The 23,292-nt window shown below is 38.3% G+C and overlaps 1 pseudogene; it reads left to right on the forward strand.

The window, feature by feature from the left end:
- Positions 3,391 to 4,562, forward strand: AKR1B1P8 (aldo-keto reductase family 1 member B1 pseudogene 8; annotated as a pseudogene).
- The last annotated feature ends 18,730 nt before the right edge of the window (positions 4,563 to 23,292 follow it).

The following is a 23,292-nucleotide window of genomic DNA, read 5'->3' on the forward strand; positions in this document are numbered from 1 at the left end:
ATTATGAATATTTCTTTAGGATTTGAACATCCACCTATCTGTTTGGGAAAGGCCACTAGTTGCATACTCCTCGCTATCAATCTTGACTGGCAATAATGCCTGGATGTAATCACTCTATGACACAATTACACATGCTTTCTGATCTCAGTATTTACCATAATAAATCTACTCCTATAATTGAGGCATACCACCCTCAAAAACCTATTTGTAAACAGAATTGGACCTGACCAGAAATAATGAACGTACTTGTTTGGGAAGATTGCATTGCAGAACAGGCAGAGGTGCTGCATAATGATTCCTGTGGAATCATTATTAGTTGGTCCCCTAAGGGGATGTTTAGCTTGAATTGCACCTCTCAGTCTGTGTGCCATGGCCACAGTATGTTCAGCTGGTCTGACCAAAATGGTCAGATGGTAGAAATGGTAAGAAGTATGGCAAGAGTTCCTATTATCTGGAAACATAGTGGTATAGTGGCACCTCAACCTCAAATGGTATGGCCTGCTGTAGGAGCTAAACATAAGGATTTGTGGCTACTATTAATGGCTCTTAATAAGATCAAAATTTGGGAAAGAATGAAAAAGGATCTAGAAGGACACTCTACAAACTTGTCTTTGGATATTGCAAAATTAAAAGAACAAATATTTAAAGCATCCCAGGCACACTGACCTTAATGCCAGGAACTGGAGCGCTTGAAGGAGCTGCAGACAGATTAGCAGCTAGTAACCCATTAAACTAGATAAAAACACGTGGAAGCTGTGTGACTTCAATGATGATTGTGCTTTTAATCTGTGTTGTTCGTCTTTGTATAGTCTGCAGTTGTGGATCCCAACTCCTGCGAGAAGTAGCTCACTGTGATAAAACCACCTTTGCTTTTAATGTCTTGCAAAAACAAAAAGGGGGAATATGTTGGTAAGAGGCCCCAAAACTGGCCACAAACAAAATCTCTGCAGCACTGTGACATGTTCATGATGGCCATGACGCCCTTGCTGAAGGTTGTGGGTTTACTGGAATGAGGGCAAGGAACACCTGGCCCACTCAGGGCAGAAAATTGCTTAAGGTGTTCCTAAGCCACAAACAATAGCACGAGCAATCTGTGCCTTAAGGACATGTTCCTGCTGCTGATAACTAGCCAGAGCCCATCCCTTTGTTTCAGCCCATCCCTTTGTTTCCCATTTTAGTTAATCTATAATCTATAGAAACAATGCTTATCACTGGCTTGCTATCAATAAATATGTGGGTAAAACTCTGTTCGTGGCTCTCAGCTCTGAAGGCTGTCAGCCCCGAAGGCTGTCAGTCACCTGATTTCCCACTCCATATTCCATACTTCCGTGTGTGTGTCTTTAATTCCTCTAGCACCACTGGGTTAGGCTCTCCATGACCGAGCTGATCTCGGCAGGAATGAGGGATAAAAGAGTACAAATTGTGTGCAGTGTATACTGCTCAAGTGATGGCTGCACCGAAATTCCACAAATTACCACTAAAAAACTTACTCATGTAACCAACCACTACCCATTCCCCCAATAACATATGTAAATCAAAAGTTAAAAAAAATCATATGAACAGAGGTGGGAGGAGGAGGAAGAGAGCATTTCTTAAAGGAAAATAAAGATTTCAGGTCAAGAAAAAGAGAGATTAATTAATTTGCAGAGAAAATCAACTAGTGACTTCCTATTTTCATATAAAATCAAAATCCCATTTATTTTGTCTGCATGGTGTAAAATAAACATGTTGTTAGAATGATTTTTCTCTGAAATAATCTAATTTTTGATAATATTTGGTCAAAATTGACTAGATATTTCATACTATAAGAGTCTGACATCTGCTATAATCTCATCCTACAGGCTGTCATAATGCTGAACTCCAGTAGCCACTTTTAATAAAATAATAAATTATTTTCAACTGAAGTACTTCTTCTTCTCCTCAAGCTCTTTGATTTTTGACATCAATACCCTAGAATATGCAATAACATATGCAATTATCTTTGATAATTATAAAAAGAAGGGGGAGAGCATCCTTGAAAATTAGTGTCTTTATGGAATCAAAGAGCTAGTTCAAGGTTGCAAAGAAAACACTTATACACTGTTGATGGGAGTGTAAATTAGTTTAACCATTGTGGAAAGCAGTACAGTGATTCCTCAAAGAGCTAAAAACAGAACCACCATTCAACCCAGCAATCCCATTATTGGGTATATACCCAGAGGAATATAAATCATTTTACCACACACACACAATCTTGTGAATGTTCATTGCAACACTATTCACAATAGCAAAAAGTGGAATCAATCTAAATGGCCATCAATGACAGAGTTCGTGATACAGACACACCATGGAATACTATGCAGTCATAAAAAGAATGACATCATGTCTTTTGCAGGAGCATGGATGGAGCCACAGGCTATTATCCTCAGCAAACTAACACAGGAACAGAAAACCAAATACCACACATTATCTCTTATAAGTGGGAGCTAAATGAAGAGAACTCATGAATACAATGAAGGGAACAACACACTGGGATCTACTTGAGGGTGGAGGGTGTGAGGAGGAAGTGGAGCAGAAAAGATAACTATTGGTTACTGGGCTTAATTCCTTAGTGATGAAATAATCTGTACAACAGACCCCCATGACACAAGGTTACCTATATAACAAATATTCACATATACCCCTGAACCAAAAATAAAAGTTGTTTTTTAGAAAGGGGGAAAAAACCTCTATGAAATTGGTCTGGGCAATGATTTTTTGGATGTGACTCTGAAAGCACAGGCAACAAAAGTAAAAAGAGACAAATGGGATTACATCAAACTAAAAAGCTTCTGCACAGAAGAAAACAATGAACAGGATAAGGAGACAATGTACTGAATGAGAGAATATATTTGCAAACTACACATTTGATATAGGGCTAATAACATTTGAAATACATAAGGAACTCAAAAGTAATAAAGCAATCTGATTAAAAATGGGAAAAGAACCTGAATAGACATTTCTTAAAATAAGACAAATGCTCAACAGGTATATCAGCAAATTCTTAACATGGCTAATCATCAGGAAAAAACAAATCAAAACCATAATGAAAATTTCTTGCCTATTAAAATGACTATTTTAAAAAAGCTGAAAGATAACACATATTGGTGAGAACATGGGGAAAAAGGAATCATGGTGCATTGTTGGTAGAAATGTAAATTAGTACAGCCATTATAGAAAAGAGAATGAAAGTTCCTCAAAAAATTAGTAATAGAACTACTATATGATCCAGCAACCCTATTACTGTGTATATATCAAAAAGAAATCAGAATTGCAAAAGGATAACTGCACTCCCATGATAAATGCAGCATTATTCACAGTAGCCAAGATATGGAATCAACCTAAGTATTTATCAACAGATAAATGTACATGGTTCTGGGTGGGGATCTAGGAGTACAGCAGCCATGATCAACCATCTTTTGCTCAACAACAGTGCCAAGATGTCCATCCTGGGGCCAGGTACCTGGAAGTCTCCTCCAGACCTGGTGACCGAGTCTGTAAATGTGGTGATTAACATTGGGTACTGCCACATAGATTGTGCCCACGTGTACCAGAATGAGAATGAGTCAGGGGTGGCCATTTAGGAGAAGCTCAGGGAGCAGGCAGTAAAGTGCAAGTAGCTCTTCATCATCAGCAATCTGTGGTGCACATGTCTTAAGAAGGGTCTGCTGAAAAAAACCTGCCAGAAGATGCTCAGTTACTTGAATCTGGACTACCTAGACATCTACCTTATTCACTGGACAACTGGCTTTAAGCCAGGGAAGAAATTTTTCCCACTGGATGATTCAGCCATTGTATATCCCAATGACACCAGCATTGTGGACACATGAGCAGCCATGAAAGAGCTGGTGGATGAAGGGTTGGTGAAAGCTATTGGCATCTCCAAGTTCAACTATTCTCATGTCAGGAGGATCTTAAACAAACGTGGCTTAAAGTATCAGCCAATGGTTAAAGAGATTGAGTTCTGCACATACCTAACTCAAAAGAAGTTAATCCAGTACTGCCAGTCCAAAGGCATCATGGTGACTGCCTATAGCCCCCTTGACTGTCTGGACAGGCCCTGGGCAAAGCTCAAGGATTCTTCTGTCCTGGAGGATGCCAGAAGCAAGGTGATCACAGTCAAACATAATAAAACTACAGCTCAGGTTCTGATTTGATTTCCCATTCAGAGAAACTTGGTGGTGAATCCCAAGTCTGTGACACAAAAATGCATTGCAGAGAACTTTAAGGCCTTTTACTTTGAACTAAGCAGCAAGGATATGACCACCTTACCTAGCTACAACAGAAACTGTGCCTTGGTAAGCTGTACCTCGCACAAGGATTACCCCTTCTAGGAAGAATTTTGAAGCTGTGGATGCCTGCTCATCTCCAAGTGAACTACATCTGTTTTTCCTGCCTCATTTTATTCTTGCCAATATAATGTGGCCTGTGACACTCAGTGGTGAGACAGCCATCTATAGATTGACCAGCGAGGGCTTGCCTGGCTTGATGTTGTGTCTGAAGAGCAATACCCATAGAGTAGAAGTTTCTTCCAGTTTTCTTTGCCCCCATTTTTGCCCAGCTGGGGAAAGTACAATCTGAATACCCTTTTATGACTAAGGAGAAAAACAATCTACAAGGTCAAAATAGTGCAACTAACAGTTGAGATTTGACTGCTCGGAATTTTAATCCTTTCAGCAAGACTTCTTTTTGCCTCAAATAAGAAGTGTTTTTGTGAGCTTGGAAAAAAACCCAAACAGATAAATGGATGAAAGAAAATGTGATAAATATATGTAATGGAATAGTATTCAGCCATAAAAACAGAAATCATGTCATTTGGGATGACATCAATGAATCTCAAGGACATTATGTTAAGTGCAATAAGCCAGGCACTGAGAGACTTTATGATCTTGCTGATATGTGGAATCTAAAAATGTCAAACTCATAGAATGAGAGAGTAAAATGGTGGTTACCGGAGACTGAGGTAGGGGGATTGAAGAGATGTCAGTTGAAAAATACAAAATTTCAGTTAGACGGGAGGAAGAAGTTAATGTGCAAGATGTCAGTTGCACATCATGTTTACTATAGTCAATGACAACATATTATATACTTGAAAATTGCTAAGAGAATATATTTTAAATGTTCTAACAACAAAAAAATGAGGTAATGTGTATGTTAATTAGCTTGATTTAATTATTCTGCAATGTATATATTTTCTACCATAAATATACCTTAAATAGATACAAGAAAAGCAATTTAAAAAAGAGAATTAAAGAGATAGTTACTTAAAATTCTACATGTGTTCCTAAATTTTAAAAAGCAAGAAACCAAAGTCTTAACTAGGAATATAAATAAATTTACATAATATCTACACAGGAACATACAGAGCGGAAAAATAGACATTGGAGACTACAAAAGGTAAAAATGTGGGTTGGGGATGAAGGTTGAAGAATTACCTATTTGGTACAATTTTCATTATTCAGGTGATGCATAGACTAAAAGGCCATACTTCACCATTACACAATATATACATGTAAAAAATCTGTACTTATAGCCCCTAAATATATAAAAAATAAACAAAACAAAAAATACTAAAAATAATTTCCATAATATGACAAAATATTCTCCGGTCAATACATAAGTTTATGTCTGATCATAAGAAATTAGAGATATTTTAATAAAATCTGTTTCTACTGCCATGGTTTCAATATTTTTTCTAGATATTCTACCTAATGTGATAAAAGGAGGAAAAAGTATGTATATTAGAAAGGAAGACACAAAATTATCACTATTTACAATCGTAAGATTGTTTCTTAGTAAAATTCAGAGAATCATCTAAAAAAATCATTGGGGAAAATAAAAATTCAATAACATTTCCAGTTGTAAAATACAAGGCAAGATTTCAGTTTTATTGTATACCTACAATAAGAAATTAACACATATAATGGGGAAAATCCTATTTATAAGAACAACGTATGTATCAAGAAATATGTAGAGACCTTTATGGGAAAACTATTAGGCCTTATGGATGTACATGAAAAAATGATTGGCCGGGTGCGGTGGTTCACGCCTGTAATTCCAGCAATTTGGGAGTCTGAGGTGGGCAGATCACATGAGGCCAGGAGTTCAAGACCATCCTGACCAACATGGAGAAACCCACTCTCTACAAAAAATACAAAAATTAGCTGGTCATGGTGGTACACATCTGTAATCCTAGCTACTTGGGAGGCTGAGGCATGAGAATCAGTTGAACCTGGGAGACAGAGGTTGTAGTGAGCTGAGATCATGCCACGGCACTCCAGGCTGGGTGACAGAGTAGGACTCTGTCTCAAAAAAAAAAGTGATTAAGTGGAGATTCCTATTTCTAGATTGGAAGACTATATTGTACTGATGCCTATTCTCTCCCAGAGAATATATATGCATACATGTAATACAATTCCAATAAAATTCCAGAGCTACAATGGTATCTATAATATGTTGCTAGTGCTAGAATAAGCACCTATATAAATGGTAAAGAAAAGAAAACCCCTTCATTTACTTTAAACATTTAATATTTAATATATGATTAAAATTTATTTGGCTTATTTTCACATTCCTGTTTGTTCTACTTATGGATAGTTGTAGATAAAGATGTAGATATAGTTACAGTGTTATCCTTTCAAATTCACTTTATTTCATTCATGTCTCTTTTACAAATTCCTTCATTGAGTTTACGGTTTTGATGTCATCTGTGTTTCGCAACAGATCAGCGGGTCTTGTTTTTAAAGTCCATTCAGCCACTCTATGTTTTTTGAATGGAGAGTGTAATTCATTTACATTTCATTTTATTTTTATTTATTTAATTTTCTTTATTTCATTATTCTACTTTAAGTTTTAGGGTGCATGTGCACAATGTGCAGGTTAGTTACATATGTATACATGTGCCATGCTGGTGTGCCGCACCCATTAACTCGTCATTTAGCATTAGGTATATCTCCTAATGCTATCCCTCCCCCCTCCCCCCACCCCACAACAGACCCCAGAGTGTGATGTTCCCCTTCCTGTGTCTATGTGTCCTCATTGTTCAATTCCCACCTATGAGTGAGAATATGCGGTGTTTGGTTTTTTTGTTCTTGTGATAGTTTACTGAGAATGATGATTTCCAGTTTCATCCATGTCCCTACAAAGGACACGAACTCATCATTTCTTATGGCTGCATAATATTCCATAGTGTATATGTGCCACATTTTCTTAATCCAGTCTATCGTTGTTGGACATTTGGGTTGGTTCCAAGTCTTTGCTATGGTGAATAGTGCCGCAATAAACATACGTGTGCATGTGTCTTTATAGCAGCATGATTTATACTCATTTGGGTATATACCCAGTAATGGGATGGCTGGGTCAAATGGTATTTCTAGTTCTAGATCCCTGAGGAATGGCCACACTGACTTCCGCAATGAATGAACTAGCTTACAGTCCCACCAACAGTGTAAAAGTGTTCCTATTTCTCCACATCCTCTCCAGCACCTGTTGTTTCCTGACTTTTTAATGATTGCCATTCTAACTGGTGTGAGATGGTAACTCATTGTGGTTTTGATTTGCATTTCTCTGATGGCCAGTGATGATGAGCATTTTTTCACGTGTTTTTTGGCTGCATAAATGTCTTCTTTTGAGAAGTGTCTGTTCATGTCCTTTGCCCACTTTTTGATAGGGTTGTTTGTTTTTTTCTTGTAAATTTGTTTGAGTTCATTGTAGATTCTGGATATTAGCCCTTTGTCAGATGAGTAGGTAGCGAAAATTTTCTCCCATTCTGTAGGTTGCCTGTTCACTCTGATGGTAGTTTCTTTTGTTGTGCAGAAGCTCTATAGTTTAATTAGATCCCATTTGTCAATTTTGGCTTTTGTTGCCATTGCTTTTGGTGTTTTAGACATGAAGTCCTTGCCCATGCCTATGTCCTGAATGGTAATGTCTAGATTTTCTCCTAGGGTTTTTATGGTTTTAGGTCTAACGTTTAAGTCTTTAATCCATCTTGAATTAATTTTTGTATAAGGTGTAAGGAAGGGATCCAGTTTCAGCTTTCTACATATGGCTAGCCAGTTTTCCCAGCACCATTTATTAAATAAGGAATCCTTTCCTCATTGCTTGTTTTTCTCAGGTTTGTCAAAGATCAGATAGTTGTAGATATGCTGCATTATTTCTGAGGGTTCTGTTCTGTTCCATTGATCTCTATCACTGTTTTGGTACCAGCACCATGCTGTTTTGGTTACTGTAGCCTTGTAGTATAGTTTGAAGTTAGGTAGCATGATGCCTCCAGCTTTGTTCTTTTGGCTTAGGATTGAATTGGAGATGCAGGCTCTTTTTTGGTTCCATATGAACTTTAAAGTAGGTTTTTCCAATTCTGTGAAGAAAGTCATTGGTAGCTTGATGAGGATGGCATTGAATCTGTAAATTACCTTGGGCAGTATGGCCATTTTCATGATATTGATTCTTCCTACCCATGAGCATGGAATGTTCTTCCATTTTTTTGTATCCTCTTTTATTTCCTTGAGCAGTGGTTTGTAGTTCTCCTTGAAGAGGTTCTTCACGTCCCTTGTAAGTTGGATTCCTAGGTATTTTATTCTCTTTGAAGCAATTGTGAATGGGAGTTCACTCATGATTTGGCTCTCTGTTTGTCTGTTATTGGTGTATAAGAATGCTTGTGATTTTTGTACATTGATTTTGAATCCTGAGACTTTGCTGAAGTTGCTTATCAGCTTAAGGAGACTTTGGGCTGAGACAATGGGGTTTCCTAGATATACAGTCATGTCATCTGCAAACAGGGACAATTTGACTTCATCTTTTGCTAATTGAATACCCTTTATTTCCTTCTCCTGCCTAATTACCCTGGCCAGAACTTCCAACACTATGTTGAATAGGAGTGGTGAGAGAGGGCATCCCTGTCTTGTGCCAGTTTTCAAAGGGAATGCTTCCAGTTTCTGCCCATTCAGTATGATATTGGCTGTGAGTTTGTCACAGATAGCTCTTATTATTTTGAGATACATCCCATCGATACCTAATTTATTGAGAGTTTTTAGCATGAAGTGTTGTTGAATTTTGTCAAAGGCCTTTTCTGCATCTATTGAGATAATCATGTGGTTTTTGTCTTTGGTTCTGTTTATATGCTGGATTACATTTATTGATTTGCATATATTGAACCAGCCTTGCATCCTAGGGATGAAGCACACTTGATCATGGTGGATAAGCTTTTTGATATGCTGCTGGATTCGGTTTGCCAGTGTTTTATTGAGGATTTTTGCATCAGTGTTCATCAAGGATATTGGTCTAAAATTCTCTTTTTTGGTTGTGTCTCTCCCCGGCTTTGGTATCAGGATGATGCTGGCCTCATCAAATGAGTTAGGGAGGATTTCTATTGATTGGAATAGTTTCAGAAGGAATGGTACCAGTTCCTCCTTGTACCTTTGGTAGAATTCGGCTGGGAATCCATCTGGTCCTGGACTCTTTTTGGTTGGTAAGCTATTGATTATTGCCACAATTTCAGAGCCTGTTATTGGTCTATTCAGAGATTCAACTTCTTCCTGGTTTAGTCTTGGGAGAGTGTATGTGTCGAGAAATTTATCCATTTCTTCTAGATTTTCTAGTTTATTTGCATAGAGGTGTTTGTAGTATTCTCTGATGGTAGTTTGTATTTCTGTGGGATCGGTGGTGATATCCCCTTTGTCATTTTTTATTGTGTCTATTTGATTCTTCTCTTTTTTCTTCTTTATTAGTCTTGCTAGTGGTCTATCAGAATGTGTTTGCTCTTGCTTTTCTAGTTCTTTTAATTGTGATGTTAGGGTGTCAATTTTAGATCTTTCCTGCTTTCTCTTGTGGGCATTTAGTGCTATCAATTTCCCTCTACACAGTGCTTTGAATGTGTCTCAGAGATTCTGGTATGTTGTGTCTTTGTTCTCGTTGGTTTCAAAGAACATATTTATTTCTGCCTTCATTTTGTTATGTACCCAGTAGTCACTCAGGAGCAGGTTGTTCAGTTTCCATGTAGTTGAGTGGTTTTGAGTGAGTTTCTTAATCCTGAGTTCTAGTTTGATTGCACTGTGGTCTGAGAGACAGTTTGTTATAATTTCTGTTCTTTTACATTTGCTGAGGAGAGCTTTACTTCCAACTATGTGGTCAATTTTGGAATAGGTGTGGTGTGGTGCTGAAAAAAATGTATATTCTGTGGATTTGGGGTGGAGAGTTCTGTAGATGTCTATTAGGTCCACTTGGTGCAGAGCTGAGTTCAATTCCTGGGTATCCTTGTTAACTTTCTGTCTCGTTGATCTGTCTAATGTTGACAGTGGGGTGTTAAAGTCTCCCATTATTATTGTGTGGGAGACTGAGTCTCTTTGTAGGTCACTCAGGACTTGCTTTATGAATCTGGGTGCTCCTGTATTAGGTGCATATATATTTAGTATAGTTAGGTCTTCTTGTTGAATTGATCTCTTTACCATTATGTAATGGCTTCCTTTGTCTCTTTTGATCTTTGTTGGTTTAAAGTCTGTTTTATCAGAGGCTAGGATTGCAACCCCTGCCTTTTTTTGTTTTCCATTTGCTTGGTAGATCTTCCTCCATCCTTTTATTTTGAGCCTATGTGTGTCTCTGCACATGAGATGGGTTTCCTGAATACAGCGCACTGATGGGTCTTGACTCTTTATCCAATTTGTCAGTCTGCATCTTTTAATTGGAGCATTTAGCCCATTTACATTTAAAGTTAATATTGTTATGTGGAATTTGATCCTGTCATTATGATGTTCGCTGGTTATTTTGCTCGTTAGTTGATGCAGTTTCTTCCTAGCCTCGATGGTCTTTAGAATTTGGCATGATTTTGCAGTGGCTGGTACTGGTTGTTCCTTTCCATGTTTAGTGCTTCCTTCAGGAGCTCTTTTAGGGCAGGCCTGGTGGTGACAAAATCTCTCAGCATTTGCTTCTATGTAAAGTATTTTATTTCTCCTTCACTTATGAAGCTTAGTTTGGCTGGATATGAAATTCTGGGTTGAAAATTCTTTTCTTTAAGACTGTTGAATATTGGCCCCCACTCTCTTCTGGCTTGTAGAGTTTCTGCAGAGAGATCCACTGCTAGTCTGATGGGCTTCCCTTTGTGGGTAACCTGACCTTTCTCTCTGGCTGCCCTTAACATTTTTTCCTTCATTTCAACTTTGGTGAATCTGACAATTATGTGTCTTGGAGTTGCTCTTCTTGAGGGGTATCTTTGTGGAGTTCTCTGTATTTCCTGAATTTGAATGTTGGCCTGCCTTGCTAGATTGGGGAAGTTCTCCTGGATAATATCCTGCAGAGTGTTTTCCAACTTGGTTCCATTTTCCCCGTCACTTTCAGATACACCAATCAGACGTAGATTTGGTCTTTTCACATAGTCCCATATTTCTTGGAGGCTTTGCTCGTTTCTTTTTATTCTTTTTTCTCTAAACTTCCCTTCTCGCTTCATTTCATTCATTTCATCTTCCATCACTGATACCCTTTCTTCCAGTTGATCGCATCGGCTCCTGAGGCTTCTGCATTCTTCACGTAGTTCTTGAGCCTTGGCTTTCAGCTCCATCAGCTCCTTTAAGCACTTCTCTGTATTGGTTATTCTAGTTATACATTCGTCTAAATTTTTTTCAAAGTTTTTAACTTCTTTGCCTTTGGTTTGAATTTCCTCCTGTAGCTCAGAGTAGTTTGATCATCTGAAGCCTTCTCTCAACTCGTCAAAGTCATTCTCCGTCAAGCTTTGTTCCATTGCTGGTGAGGAACTGCGTTCCTTTGGAGGAGGAGAGGAGCTCTGCTTTTTAGAGTTTCCAGTTTTTCTGCTCTGTTTTTTCCCCATCTTTGTGGTTTTATCTACTTTTGGTCTTTGATGATGGTGATGTACAGATGGGTTTTTGGTGTGGATATCCATTCTGTTTGTTAGTTTTCCTTCCAACAGACAGGACCCTTAGCTGCAGGTCTGTTGGAGTTTGCTAGAGGTCCACTCCAGACCCTGTTTGCTTGGGTATCAGCAGCGGTGGCTGCAGAACAGCAGATTTTCGTGAACGGTGAATGCTGCTGTCTGATCGTTCCTCTGGAAGTTTTGTCTCAGAGGAGTACCCGGCTGTGTGAGGTGTCAGTCTGCCCCTACTGGGGGGTGCCTCCCAGTTAGGCTGCTCGGGGGTCAGGTGTCAGGGACTCACTTGAGGAGGCAATCTGCCCATTCTCAGATCTCCAGCTGCATGCTGGGATAACCACTGCTCTCCTGAAAGCTGTCAGACAGGGACATTTAAGTCTGCAGAGGTTACTGTTGTCTTTTTGTTTTTCTGTGCCCTGCCCCCAGAGGTGGAGCCTACAGAGGCAGGCAGGCCTCCTTGAGCTGTGGTGGGGTCCACCCAGTTCGAACTTCCCAGCTGCTTTGTTTACCTAAGCAAGCCTGGGCAATTGTGTGCACCCCTCCCCCAGCCTCACTGCCGCCTTGCAGTTTGATCTCAGACTGCTGTGCTGGCAATCAGCGAGACTCCATGGGCATAGGACCCTCTGAGCCATGTGCGGGATATAATCTCCTGCTTCACCGTTTTTTAAGCCCTTTGGAAAAGTGCAGTATTAGTATGGGAGTGACCCGATTTTCCAGGTGCCATCTGTCACCCCTTCTTGGACTAGGAAGGGGAACTCCATGACCCCTTTGCCTCCCGAGTGAGGCAATGCCTTGCCCTGCTTCAGCTCGCGCAAGGTGCGCTGCACCCACTGTCCTGGGCCCACTGTCTGGCACTCCCTAGTGAGATGGACCCGGTACCTCAGATGGAAATGCAGAAATCACCCATCTTCTGCGTTGCTCACGCTAGGAGCTGTAGACTGGAGCTGTTCCTATTTGGCCATCTTGGCTGCCTGACCTCATATTGAATTTTATTATTGATAATTTGTTAATTGTTTTATGGCTGTTTTGCAGTTTTTCTTCCTTCTTTTCTTTCTTTTCTTTTGTTTCTTCCTTCTTTTCTTTCTTCTTGTCTTCACTTTTGTGAAGGTTATTTTCTCTGGTGGTATGCTTTAATTTCTTGCTTTTTATTTTTTGTGTATTCATTGTGAATTTTTTGATTAGAGGTTACCATGAGGCTTGCAAATACTGTTATAACCCATTATTTTAAACTGATGACAACTTAACATTTATTGCATAAACAAACACAGAAAGAAAAGTAGTAAAATTTCAATCCTTTAAGTGTGTTTCTCCACTTTTTAACCTTTGGTTGTTTCTGTTTATGTCTTATTGTACTTTCCCCATTTTTAATGTGATTATTTGTTTTTTTGCTTGTTGGTTTGTTTAAGTTCCTTTATAGGTTCTGGATATTAGCCCTTTATCAGATGTGTAGTTTGTGAATATTTTCTCCCATTCTGTAGATTGTCTATTTACTCTGATGATAGTTTCTTTTGCTGTGCAGAAGCTCTTTAGTTTAATTAGATCCCATGTGTCAATTTTTCTTTTGTTGCAACTTCTTTTGGCATCTTTATTATGAAATATTTGCCAGAGCCTATGTCCAGTATGGTATTACCTACATTGTCATTCAGGGTTTTTATAGTTTTGGGCTTTACATTTAAGTATTTAATCCATCTTGTGTTGATTTTTTATGTTGTAAAAAAGAGGTTTACTTTCTATCTTCTGCACATGTCCAGGCAGTTATTCCAACACCATTTATTGATAGGAAGTCCTTTCCCCATTGCTTATTTTTTTCAATTTGTTGAAGATCAGATGATTGCAGTTGTGTAGCCTAAGGGCTGGCCTCTCTATTCTGTTCCATTTGTCTATGTGTCTGTTTTTGTACTTGCACCATGTTTTTTTGGTTACAATAGCTCTGTCGTATAGTTGTATATCAGGTAGCATAATTTCTCCTTCTTTGTTCTTTTTACTTAGGATTGCCTTAATTATTCAGGCTCTTTTGTTGTTTTATATAAATTTTAACATAACTTTTTTCTAGTTCTCTGAAATATATCATTGGTAGCTTGACAGGAATAGCATTGAATCTGTAAATTGCTTTGGGCAGTATGACCATTTTAACAATATTGAGCGTTCCAACTCATGAGCAGAGAGTTTTTTTCCATTTATTTTTGTCATTGCTAATTTCTTTGAGCAGTGTTTTAAAATTCTCATTGTGTGTTTTTTTTTTTTTTTTTTACCTTTCTGCTTTGCTGTATTTCTCAGTAATTTATTTTATTTCTGGCTACCATGAATGGGATTACATTTCTGATTTTGCTCTCAGTTTGGCTGTTGCTGATGTATAGGAATACTACTTTTTGCTGTACATTGATTTTGAATCCTGAAACTTTGCTGAAGTTGTTTATCAGCTTAAAGATTTTTGGGGCTGAGACTATGGGGTTTTCTAATACAGAATACTGTCATCTGCAAACAGGGATAGTTTGACTTCTTCTCTTTCTATTTCAATGCACTTTATTGCTTTCTCTTGCTTTGTTGCTCTGGCCCAGACTTCCAATACTTTGTTGAATAGATGTGGTGAGAGATAGCATCTTTGTCTTTTGCCAGTTTTCAAAAGGAATGCTTCCAGCTTTTGCTCCTTCAGTATGATGGTGGCTGTTATTATTTTGAGATATCTTCCTTTAATGCCTGGTTTTTGGGAGTTTTTTAACCATGAAGGGATGCTGAATTTTATTGAAAGTCATTTTTGCATCTATTCAAATAATCATGTTTTTTGACTTTAGTTCTGTTCATGTGATAAATTACATTTATTGATTTGCATATGTTGAACCAACCTTGCATCTCAGGGATAAAGCCTATTTGATCATGGTGGATAAGCTTTCTGATGTGCTTCTGGATTTGGTTTGCTAACATTTTGTTGAGGATTTTTTGCATCAATGTTTATCAAGGATGTTGACCTGAGATTTTTTTGTTGTTATTTCTCTGCCAGGTTTCAGAATCAGGATGATGGTGGCCTTATAAAGTGAGTTGATGAAGAGTCCCTCATCCTCAATTTTTTCCAATAATTTCAGTAGAAATGGTACCAGCTCATCTTTGTACATCTGGTAGAATTTGGCTCTGAATTCATCTGTTCCAGGGCTGTTTTTGTTTTATAGGCTATTTTTTACTTATTCAATTCCAGAGATTATTATTGGTCTGTTCAGGGATTTAATTTTTTCCTAGATCAGTCTTGGGAGCATGTATATGTTTAGAAATTTATTCTTTTTTTTCTAGATTTTCTAGCTTGTTTTCATAATATTCTGATAGTTATTTGTATTTCCATTGAGTCAATGGCAATATCCTCTTTGTGATTTCTGATTGCATTTATTTGGTTTTTCTCTCTTTTATTCTTTATTAGTCTAGCTAGTGGTTTATCTATCTTATTAATATCTTCAAAAAACCACCTTCTTGATTCATTGATCTTTTAAACGTTTATTTTGCATCTCGATTTCCTTCATTTTCCATCTCAATTTCCTTCATTTTCCACTCTGATTTTTATTATTTCTTGTCTTCTGTTAGCTTTGAGGTTAGTTTGCTCTTGCTTTTCTAGTTCTTTCAGTTGTGATGTTTGTTTGTTAATTTGAAATTTTTCTAACATTTTGTTGTTGATGTTTAGTACTATAAACTTCCCTCTTAATTCTGTTTTAGATGTGTTCCAGTGATACTGGTATGTTGTATTTTTGTTCTCATTAGTTTCAAAGAACTTTTTGATTTCTTCCTTAGTTTCATTACTTGCTCAAAAGGCATTCAGAAGCAGGTTGCTTAATTTCCATGGTTTTGGGCAATTTTGTTAGTATTGAGTTCTGTTTTTTTTTTTGTGCTGTGGTGTGAGATTCTTTGGTATGATTTCTGTTCTTCTGCATTTGCTGAGAATTACTTCATGTTCTATTGTGTGTTTGATTTTAGCATGTGTGCCATGTAGCAATGAGAGGAATGTATATTTTGTTGTTTTGGGGTGGAGAGTTCTGTAGATGTCTATCAGATCCATTTATTCCAGTATTTTGTACAGGTTCTGCATATTTTTGTTTATTTTCTGCCACAATGATCTGTCTAATACTGTCACTGGAGTGTTGAAGTCTCCCACTTTTATTGTGTTGGAGTCTAAGTCTCTTTGTAGATCCCTAAGAACTTGGTTAATAAATCTGGGTGCTTCTGTGTTGGGTGCATAAATATTTAGGATAATTAAGTCTTCTTTTTGAATGGAATACTTTACCATCATATAATGCCCTTCTTTGCCTTTTTTGATCTTTATTGATTTGAAATCTGTATTTTCTAAAATTACTATTGCAACCCATGTTGTTGTTGTGTGTGTGTGTGTGTGTGTGTGTTGTAAATTTTTCTCCATCCCTGTATTTTGAGCCTATGTGTGTCATTGCATGTAAGATGGATCTCTTGAAGACAGCATACCATTGGGTCTGCTTTCTATCCAGATTGCCAGTCTGTGCCTTTAAATTGGGGGCATTTGGCTCATTTAAACTCAAGGTTAGTATTTATTTGTAAATTCAATTCTGTAATCATGTTGTTAGTTGTTTATTATTCTTACTTGTTTGTGTGTTTGCTTTATGGTGTCACAGGTCTGTGTACTTAAGTGTGTTTTTGCAGTGGCTGGTAACAGTCACTCTTTTCCATATTTAGTGCTTTTTTCAGGAGTTCTGGTAAGAGAAGTCTGGTGGTAATGAATCCTCTCAGCATTTGCTTTTCTGAAAAAGAATGTCATTTCTCCTTTGCTTTTGAAGCTTAGTTTTGCCAAATCGAAAACTCTTGGTTGGAATTTCTTTTCTTTCAGAATGTTGAATATAGGCTCCCAATCTCTTTTGCCATGTAGGGTTTCTACTGAGAGGTATGCTGTTAGTCAGATGGGCTTCCCTTTGTAGGTGACTTGAATTTTTTAGTGGCCCTTAACATTTTAAAATTTCATTTCAATCTTGGAGAATCAGATGATTATTGGTTTTGGAGATGATCTTCCTGCGAAGTATGTTGTGTGGGTTCTCTGCATTTCCTGAATTTGAATGTTGGCCTCTAGAGCTATGTTGAAGAAGTTCTCATGGATGACATTCTGAAATATGTTTTCCAAGTTGCTTTCATTCTCTCCATCTCTTTCAGGGGTGCCAATGTGTTGTAGATTCAATTCCTTTACAGAGTCCCATATTTCTCAGAGGTTCTGTTCATTTCTTTTCATTCTTTATTTAAAATTATTGTCTTAATGTCTTATTTCAGAAAAACAGTTGATAGGATTTGGCTCTGTGTCCCCACCCAAATCTCATCTCAAATTGTAATCCCCATGTGTCAGACGAAGGGCCTTGTGGCAGGTGATTGGATCATGGTGGCAGATTTTCCCCTTGCTGTTCTTATGATAGTCAGTGAGTTCTCATGAGATCTGATGGTTTTAAAGTGTGGCACTTCCCTTCTTTTCTCCATCTTTCTCCTGCTCCACCATAGGAAGATGTGCCTTGCTTCCCCTTTGCCTTCCACCATGATTGTAAGTTTCCTGAGGCCTCCCCAGCCATGTGGAACTGTGAGTCAATTCAACCTGTTTTCTTCATAAATTACCCAGTCTCACATGGTTCTTCTTAGCAGTGTGAAAATGGACTAATACCTCAGTCTTCACGTTTTGAGATTCTTTTTTTCAGCTTGGTCTATTCTGCTGTTAATACTTGTGATTGAATTATGTTTTTCAGCTCTATCAGGTTGGTTATGGACTTTTCTTCACTGGCTATTTTGTCTGTCACCTGCTGTACCATTTTATTGTGATTCTTAGCTTGCTTAGAGTAGGTTTCAACATCATCCTGAATTTAAATGATTTTTGTTCTCATCCATATTCTGAATTATATTTATGTCATTTCAGTCATCTCAGCCCAGTTAAGAACCATTGCTGGAGATCTAGTGTGGTCATTTGGAGGAAATAAGGCACTCTGGCTTTTTGAGTGATCAAAGATCTTGATCTGGTTCTTTCTTCATCTTTGTTGGTTAATGTTCCTTCAATCTTCGAAGTTGCTATTCTGTGGATTAGTTTTTTATTTTATTCTATTTGATAACCTTGGGAGTCTGATTGTAGTATAAAGTATGTTAAGTCTACTGGCTTTTTTACTGGAAGATTTTAGGGGGCCAAGACTCATCTCAGAATTCCTGGACTATGTACTCCAAATTTGGAGGACTGGTATCAAGCCCTAGCTTTGATCTCTGGCTCTTGAGATTAGGAAGCAGCTGTGAAAAGGCTGAGCTGGTCCCACACCATTAGTCACACACTCTGATGGGTGTTGCCAGCCAAAGCACTTCATAGTTCAGGGACAGTGAGATGTGTTCTCAGCCACATATTCCAGCTGCAGTGGCAGCAGCAGCATGGCTGGTTGCATGCTTGTTGGCTATGGCAGGATTCTAATGGGTGCTGGAGTGCCAGGCTCTGTGTAGCAGCAGCATCAGTAGTATGGCTCAAGGTTGCAGGGAGCCCCCAGTGGCAACTGTCCACGTGTTCATGCCAGTGGTGGGGTGCTGGTGGGCATAGGACTCTGTGTAAAGTTTGTGCACATTCATACTGGTGACACTGGTTGCTCAGAGATGGGAGCAGATATGCTTTGTTCTGTGCTCAGTTTCACACCAGCTGCTCTAGCACAGGTGTGAAGCAGCTGGTGGGGCTGCTGGGCTTCTTGCTCAGAGATGCTTCAATACAAATTATGGTGTGGCAGAAGGGATGGGGATGAGGTGCACTAATGCTGGCAGTGGTTGCATGGCAGGTTGCATGCACACACATGTGCTGGTGGGGAAGGGAAGGCTATGTCTGCCCACACACACATGCACTGGCATAGTAATGTTGGGGTTGTTCATGGGCAAGTGCCTGCAGGCAAAGTGGCATGGGGGAGACTGCAGTGGGAAAGGTGTGGGCAGGCTGATGTGTGTCCACAGGGGCCACTCTGCTGGAGCACTCTGCTGGTCAGGAGTGGTCCACCAGCACAGGAGTTATAATGCAGTTCCCAGGAGGTACCTGGGGGCTGCACTGTAAGTGGGTGCAGCCAGACTTGGGCCCCAGTAGAGGCCAGCAGGCCAAGAGGTGCTCAGGTTGGACCAGCCCCATCTTATGGGCAAGACTACCCTAAAGATTTCAAGTCTGACAGTTCTTCTAGGGCTAAAGTCTCCTCTGAGAACACGTTGAGCCTAGGAGGAAGGGCATCCCTGGCTGTGCTCCACTACAGATGCTTCCATACTGAACCCTCTGGGCTCTGTATAGGCTGGAGTTCTGCTCCTACTATTTATCTAGGCAGCTTCACTGCTAACTGAGGTGTTCATGGTGGTTGAGGGGTCTCCACCTGCTGAGATTCCAGAGGCCGTTGGTGAGAGTGGGTTGCTACTTGGCTGGTCAACTCATTGCCTAACCCCTGCAGGTGTCTAGGGAGGCCAGGAACAAGTCCTAGTGCATGGTAGTCCCATGCAGGCTTCCCAGATTTCTCCTTCAGCACAGCCTCCGTGTCTTCCTTCTGTCTGCACTCAATGCCTTCCCTCTGAATATGTGATAGAACTGCACCAGTTTTCCTGATGTCCTGGTCTCTCAGTGGGAGATCTTCCTCCTGGCTGTATCTAGCTGGCCCTATTGGGGCAGAAATCTTTATGCATTTTTAACCTGTGTTCTTTGTCTTTTTGCTGTTGCATAGTAAGTAGCTTTTAGAAAAATAAATTCTGGACACTAGACCATTATTAAATATATAATTACAAATATTTTCTAATTCTCCAGGTGGTTTTCTGACTTTCTAGATAATACTATTTGATACGCAAATTTTTTGATTTTGATAAAGTCCAATTGATCTATTTTTTATTGCTTATACTTTTAATACCCTATCTAATAATACAATCTCAAATTCAAGGTCGTGAATATACCACTATGTTTTCTTTAAACACTTTTAATAGTTCTAGCTCTTTTATTTAGGTTATTTTATACTTACAGTCATATACATTTATTTTCATAGAAAATAAAAACAAAATAATTTAAAAATACATGACCATAATTTTCAACTCGAGAAACTAGAAATAAAAGAACCACCAGAATAAACCCATGGAAAATAGAAGGAACAGAACTACAAAGATAAAAGCAGAAATCAAAACAATAGATATTTTTTAAGTTGACAGATACAGTTGTATGTATTTTTCGTGTACCATATGATGTTTAAAAAATTTTATTTCATTTTTTATTGTCACATAATAATTGTACATATTTATGGGATACAGTGTAATGCTTTTATATATATATACATATATATATAAAACAATAATCAGATCAGAGGTAATTAACATGCCTATCACCTAAAAAATTTTTATTTCTTTGTGTCAAGAACATTTAAAGTCCTCTCAGCTATTTTGAAATATAGAATACATTGTTGTTAACAATCATTACCCTACTGTGCAATAGAGCATCAGGACATATTTCTTCTAACTTTAATTTTCTACCAGTTGACCAATCTCTCCACCCTCTACACTACCTTTTTGAGTATAATTATTCTTTTGAATGTTTGCTCAATTCTTTTTTTGATACTACCTATTGTAGTTTTTCTTTCATCTATTGTATTTTTCAGCTCTAGGATTTCTGTCTGATTTATTTTTGTTATGTCAATCTCTCTGTTACATTTTTAAAATAAATTTCTGAATTGATTTTCTGTGCTTCATTGGATTCCATTGAGCTGCCTTCAAACAGCTATTTTAAATTCTTTCTCTGCAAGATAACACATATCTATCACTTTAAGGTCAGTCTATGTAACCTTATTTTGTTCATTTGATGAGATATTACACTAAATGTTTTTGATGCTTGTGAATGTGCAATAATATCTACACATTGAAAGATTAGGTATTTATTCCAGTCTTTAAAACATGGTATTGTTTGTTACCATTCTTCAGAGATACTTCCAAAGATTCTAAGCAGACTGACTGTTGAGTTCTCTGAGCTCTTGACCAACGCAGCCATGTTAGCACTAGAGGACTCGCTAAGCCTCAGTTTCCTTTGAGTCTCATGAGGCCTACAAGTATGGCCAGCTTCCAGCCTGGTAGGTTCTGGAGAAAGTACGAAAGAGAGTACCCAGGCTTTGAGGAAAGTTTGACCAGAGATTTTAGCCTAGAAGACTGTCCCAGTGGCCCAGACAGGTTTGCCTCTCAGCAAGTCCCTGCACAGGTGTGTTAGGTCCCTGACTGTAGTGAGAGGGACTGGGGCTGAGACAGGACCTTCTGAGAATCTGCTGTTGAATGGAGGCTGGAGATCCTTTCTCATTAGCTCAGGTGGGTGTATATCTCCAACTGGTAATTGCAGAGGTTGGGTAGTTCCTTAACTGCAGCAGGTGGGACTGGATCTGATACGTATCCCCCTTGAGATATGCTATGTGATGGTGGCTGGTGACTCTTTTTATTGGTTCAGATGACTGCATGTCTCCCAGGGGGTCCCTGCACAAACAGGATAGTTCTCTGACTACAGCAGGGGTGGGTGTAGGGGAGGAGGTTTGCATCTGAGACTGACCCTTTTTGGGATCTGGCATGACATGAAGGTTGGCAAGTCTGTTGTAAAGGCTCAGACTCTTGAGCTGCAAGATATGGGTGAGTCTCTCTCTGGGTCCTTGTATGAGCAGTCTTGAACTGGGACCTTAGCTGAGGGGTCTAGAGTCAAGCCACAGAGCAACTTTCAGGTTTACTGCCAAGACCAATGTCAGTGGGCAGGGGGGCCTCTTTACCAGGACACTAGTATGTGTGATTCTGCCTGGACCCTTGGTAGATGGATTTGATTGCAGGCTGAAGACCAAACCTGGCTGTAGCCAAGCCTTCTGGGGAATGAGGTTGTCTCTGGGCTCAATTGCAGGAGCAAGATCAATGGGTCAAACTCCTGGGTGCTGGTCTTCATTCTCAAAATGACACTTTTAAGGTTTTGTGATCCATCTGGTGTTCACAACCTTCTACCTGAATCCCAGACTTTCATAGAGAGACTTTTGTCTGTGAATGGATGCAGAATTCATGTTGTGAGGGAATATGAGTGCTGACATCCTACAAGATAATTTTTTTGAGATACATATATATTATGGAATGATTAAATTTAGTTAATTAATAAACATTACCTCATATAGTTATCATTTTGTGGTGAAAATACTTAACATCTACTCCCTCTGCATTAAAAATATATTAATAATACATCTTCATTAAGAATATTGTCATCATGCTGTATAATACACCTTTTGAACTTACTTCTCCCATCTAGCTGTAATTACATACCCTTGACCAACATCTCCCCATTGTTCCCTCCACCCTAACCATCCCAGACTATGGTGATCACCATTCTATTGTAGACTTCTATAAGGTCAACTTTTAAAGATTCCACATGTGTGAAATTATGTGGCTTCTGTCTTTCTGTTCTTTGCATATTTCACTTAACATAATGACCTCCTGGTTTATCCATGTTTTTGCAAATAACAAGATTTTATTCATTTTTAGGGCTGAATAAAATTCCATCCAGTATATGTACCACATTTTCTTTACATATTCATCAATTGATAGACACTTAGGTTGATTCCATTTCTTTGCTACTATGAATATTGCTGCAATCAATATGGGAACACAGATATCTCTTTGACATAGTGATTTTATTTCTGTTGGATACCTACTCATTAATGGAATTGCTGGATCATAAGGTATTTCTAATTTATTTTTTTAGAAACGTTCATGCTGCTTTCCATAATGGCTGTATTAATTTACATTCCCATCAATAGTATATAAGGGTTCTCTTTTCCTAACATCCTTGCCAACATTTGTTGTCTTTTGACTTTTTGATAATAACCATTCTAACAGTAGTGAGGTGGTATCCCACTGTGGTTTTAATTTATATTTCCCTAATGATTACTGATGTTGAGTATTCAAAAAATTTATCTGTTGGTTATTAGTATGTCTACTTTTGAGGAATGTGTATTCAAGCCTTTTGAACATTTTTCAATCAAGTCTTTTGCTTTTTTGTTATTGCTTTTTTTCATTCATTTTATATTTTAGACATTAACCCTTTAGGATATGTGGTTTACAAATATTTTCTCCCATTTTGTAGGTTTTCTCTTCACTCTATTAATTGCTTTCTTTGCTGTGCAGAAGCTTTTCAGTTAGTTGTATTCCCACTTGTCTATTTTTACTTTTGTTTACTGAGTTAATTTTTGTTTATGGTTTGAGAAAGAGATCCACTTCATTCTCTTGCATATATATATTCTGTTGTCTGAGCATCATTTTTTAAACGTATTCTTTTTTCTACATTGAATAATTTGAGCACCCTTGCCCAACTAGCCACAAATGTTTGGGTCTATGTATGGCTAAATCAATTAGCCATAAATTTGTGGGTTTATTTCTAGATTTCCAAT

This window comes from Homo sapiens, chromosome X, assembly GCF_000001405.40.
Source record: "Homo sapiens chromosome X, GRCh38.p14 Primary Assembly".
In the NCBI taxonomy this organism is placed as follows: domain Eukaryota; kingdom Metazoa; phylum Chordata; class Mammalia; order Primates; family Hominidae; genus Homo; species Homo sapiens.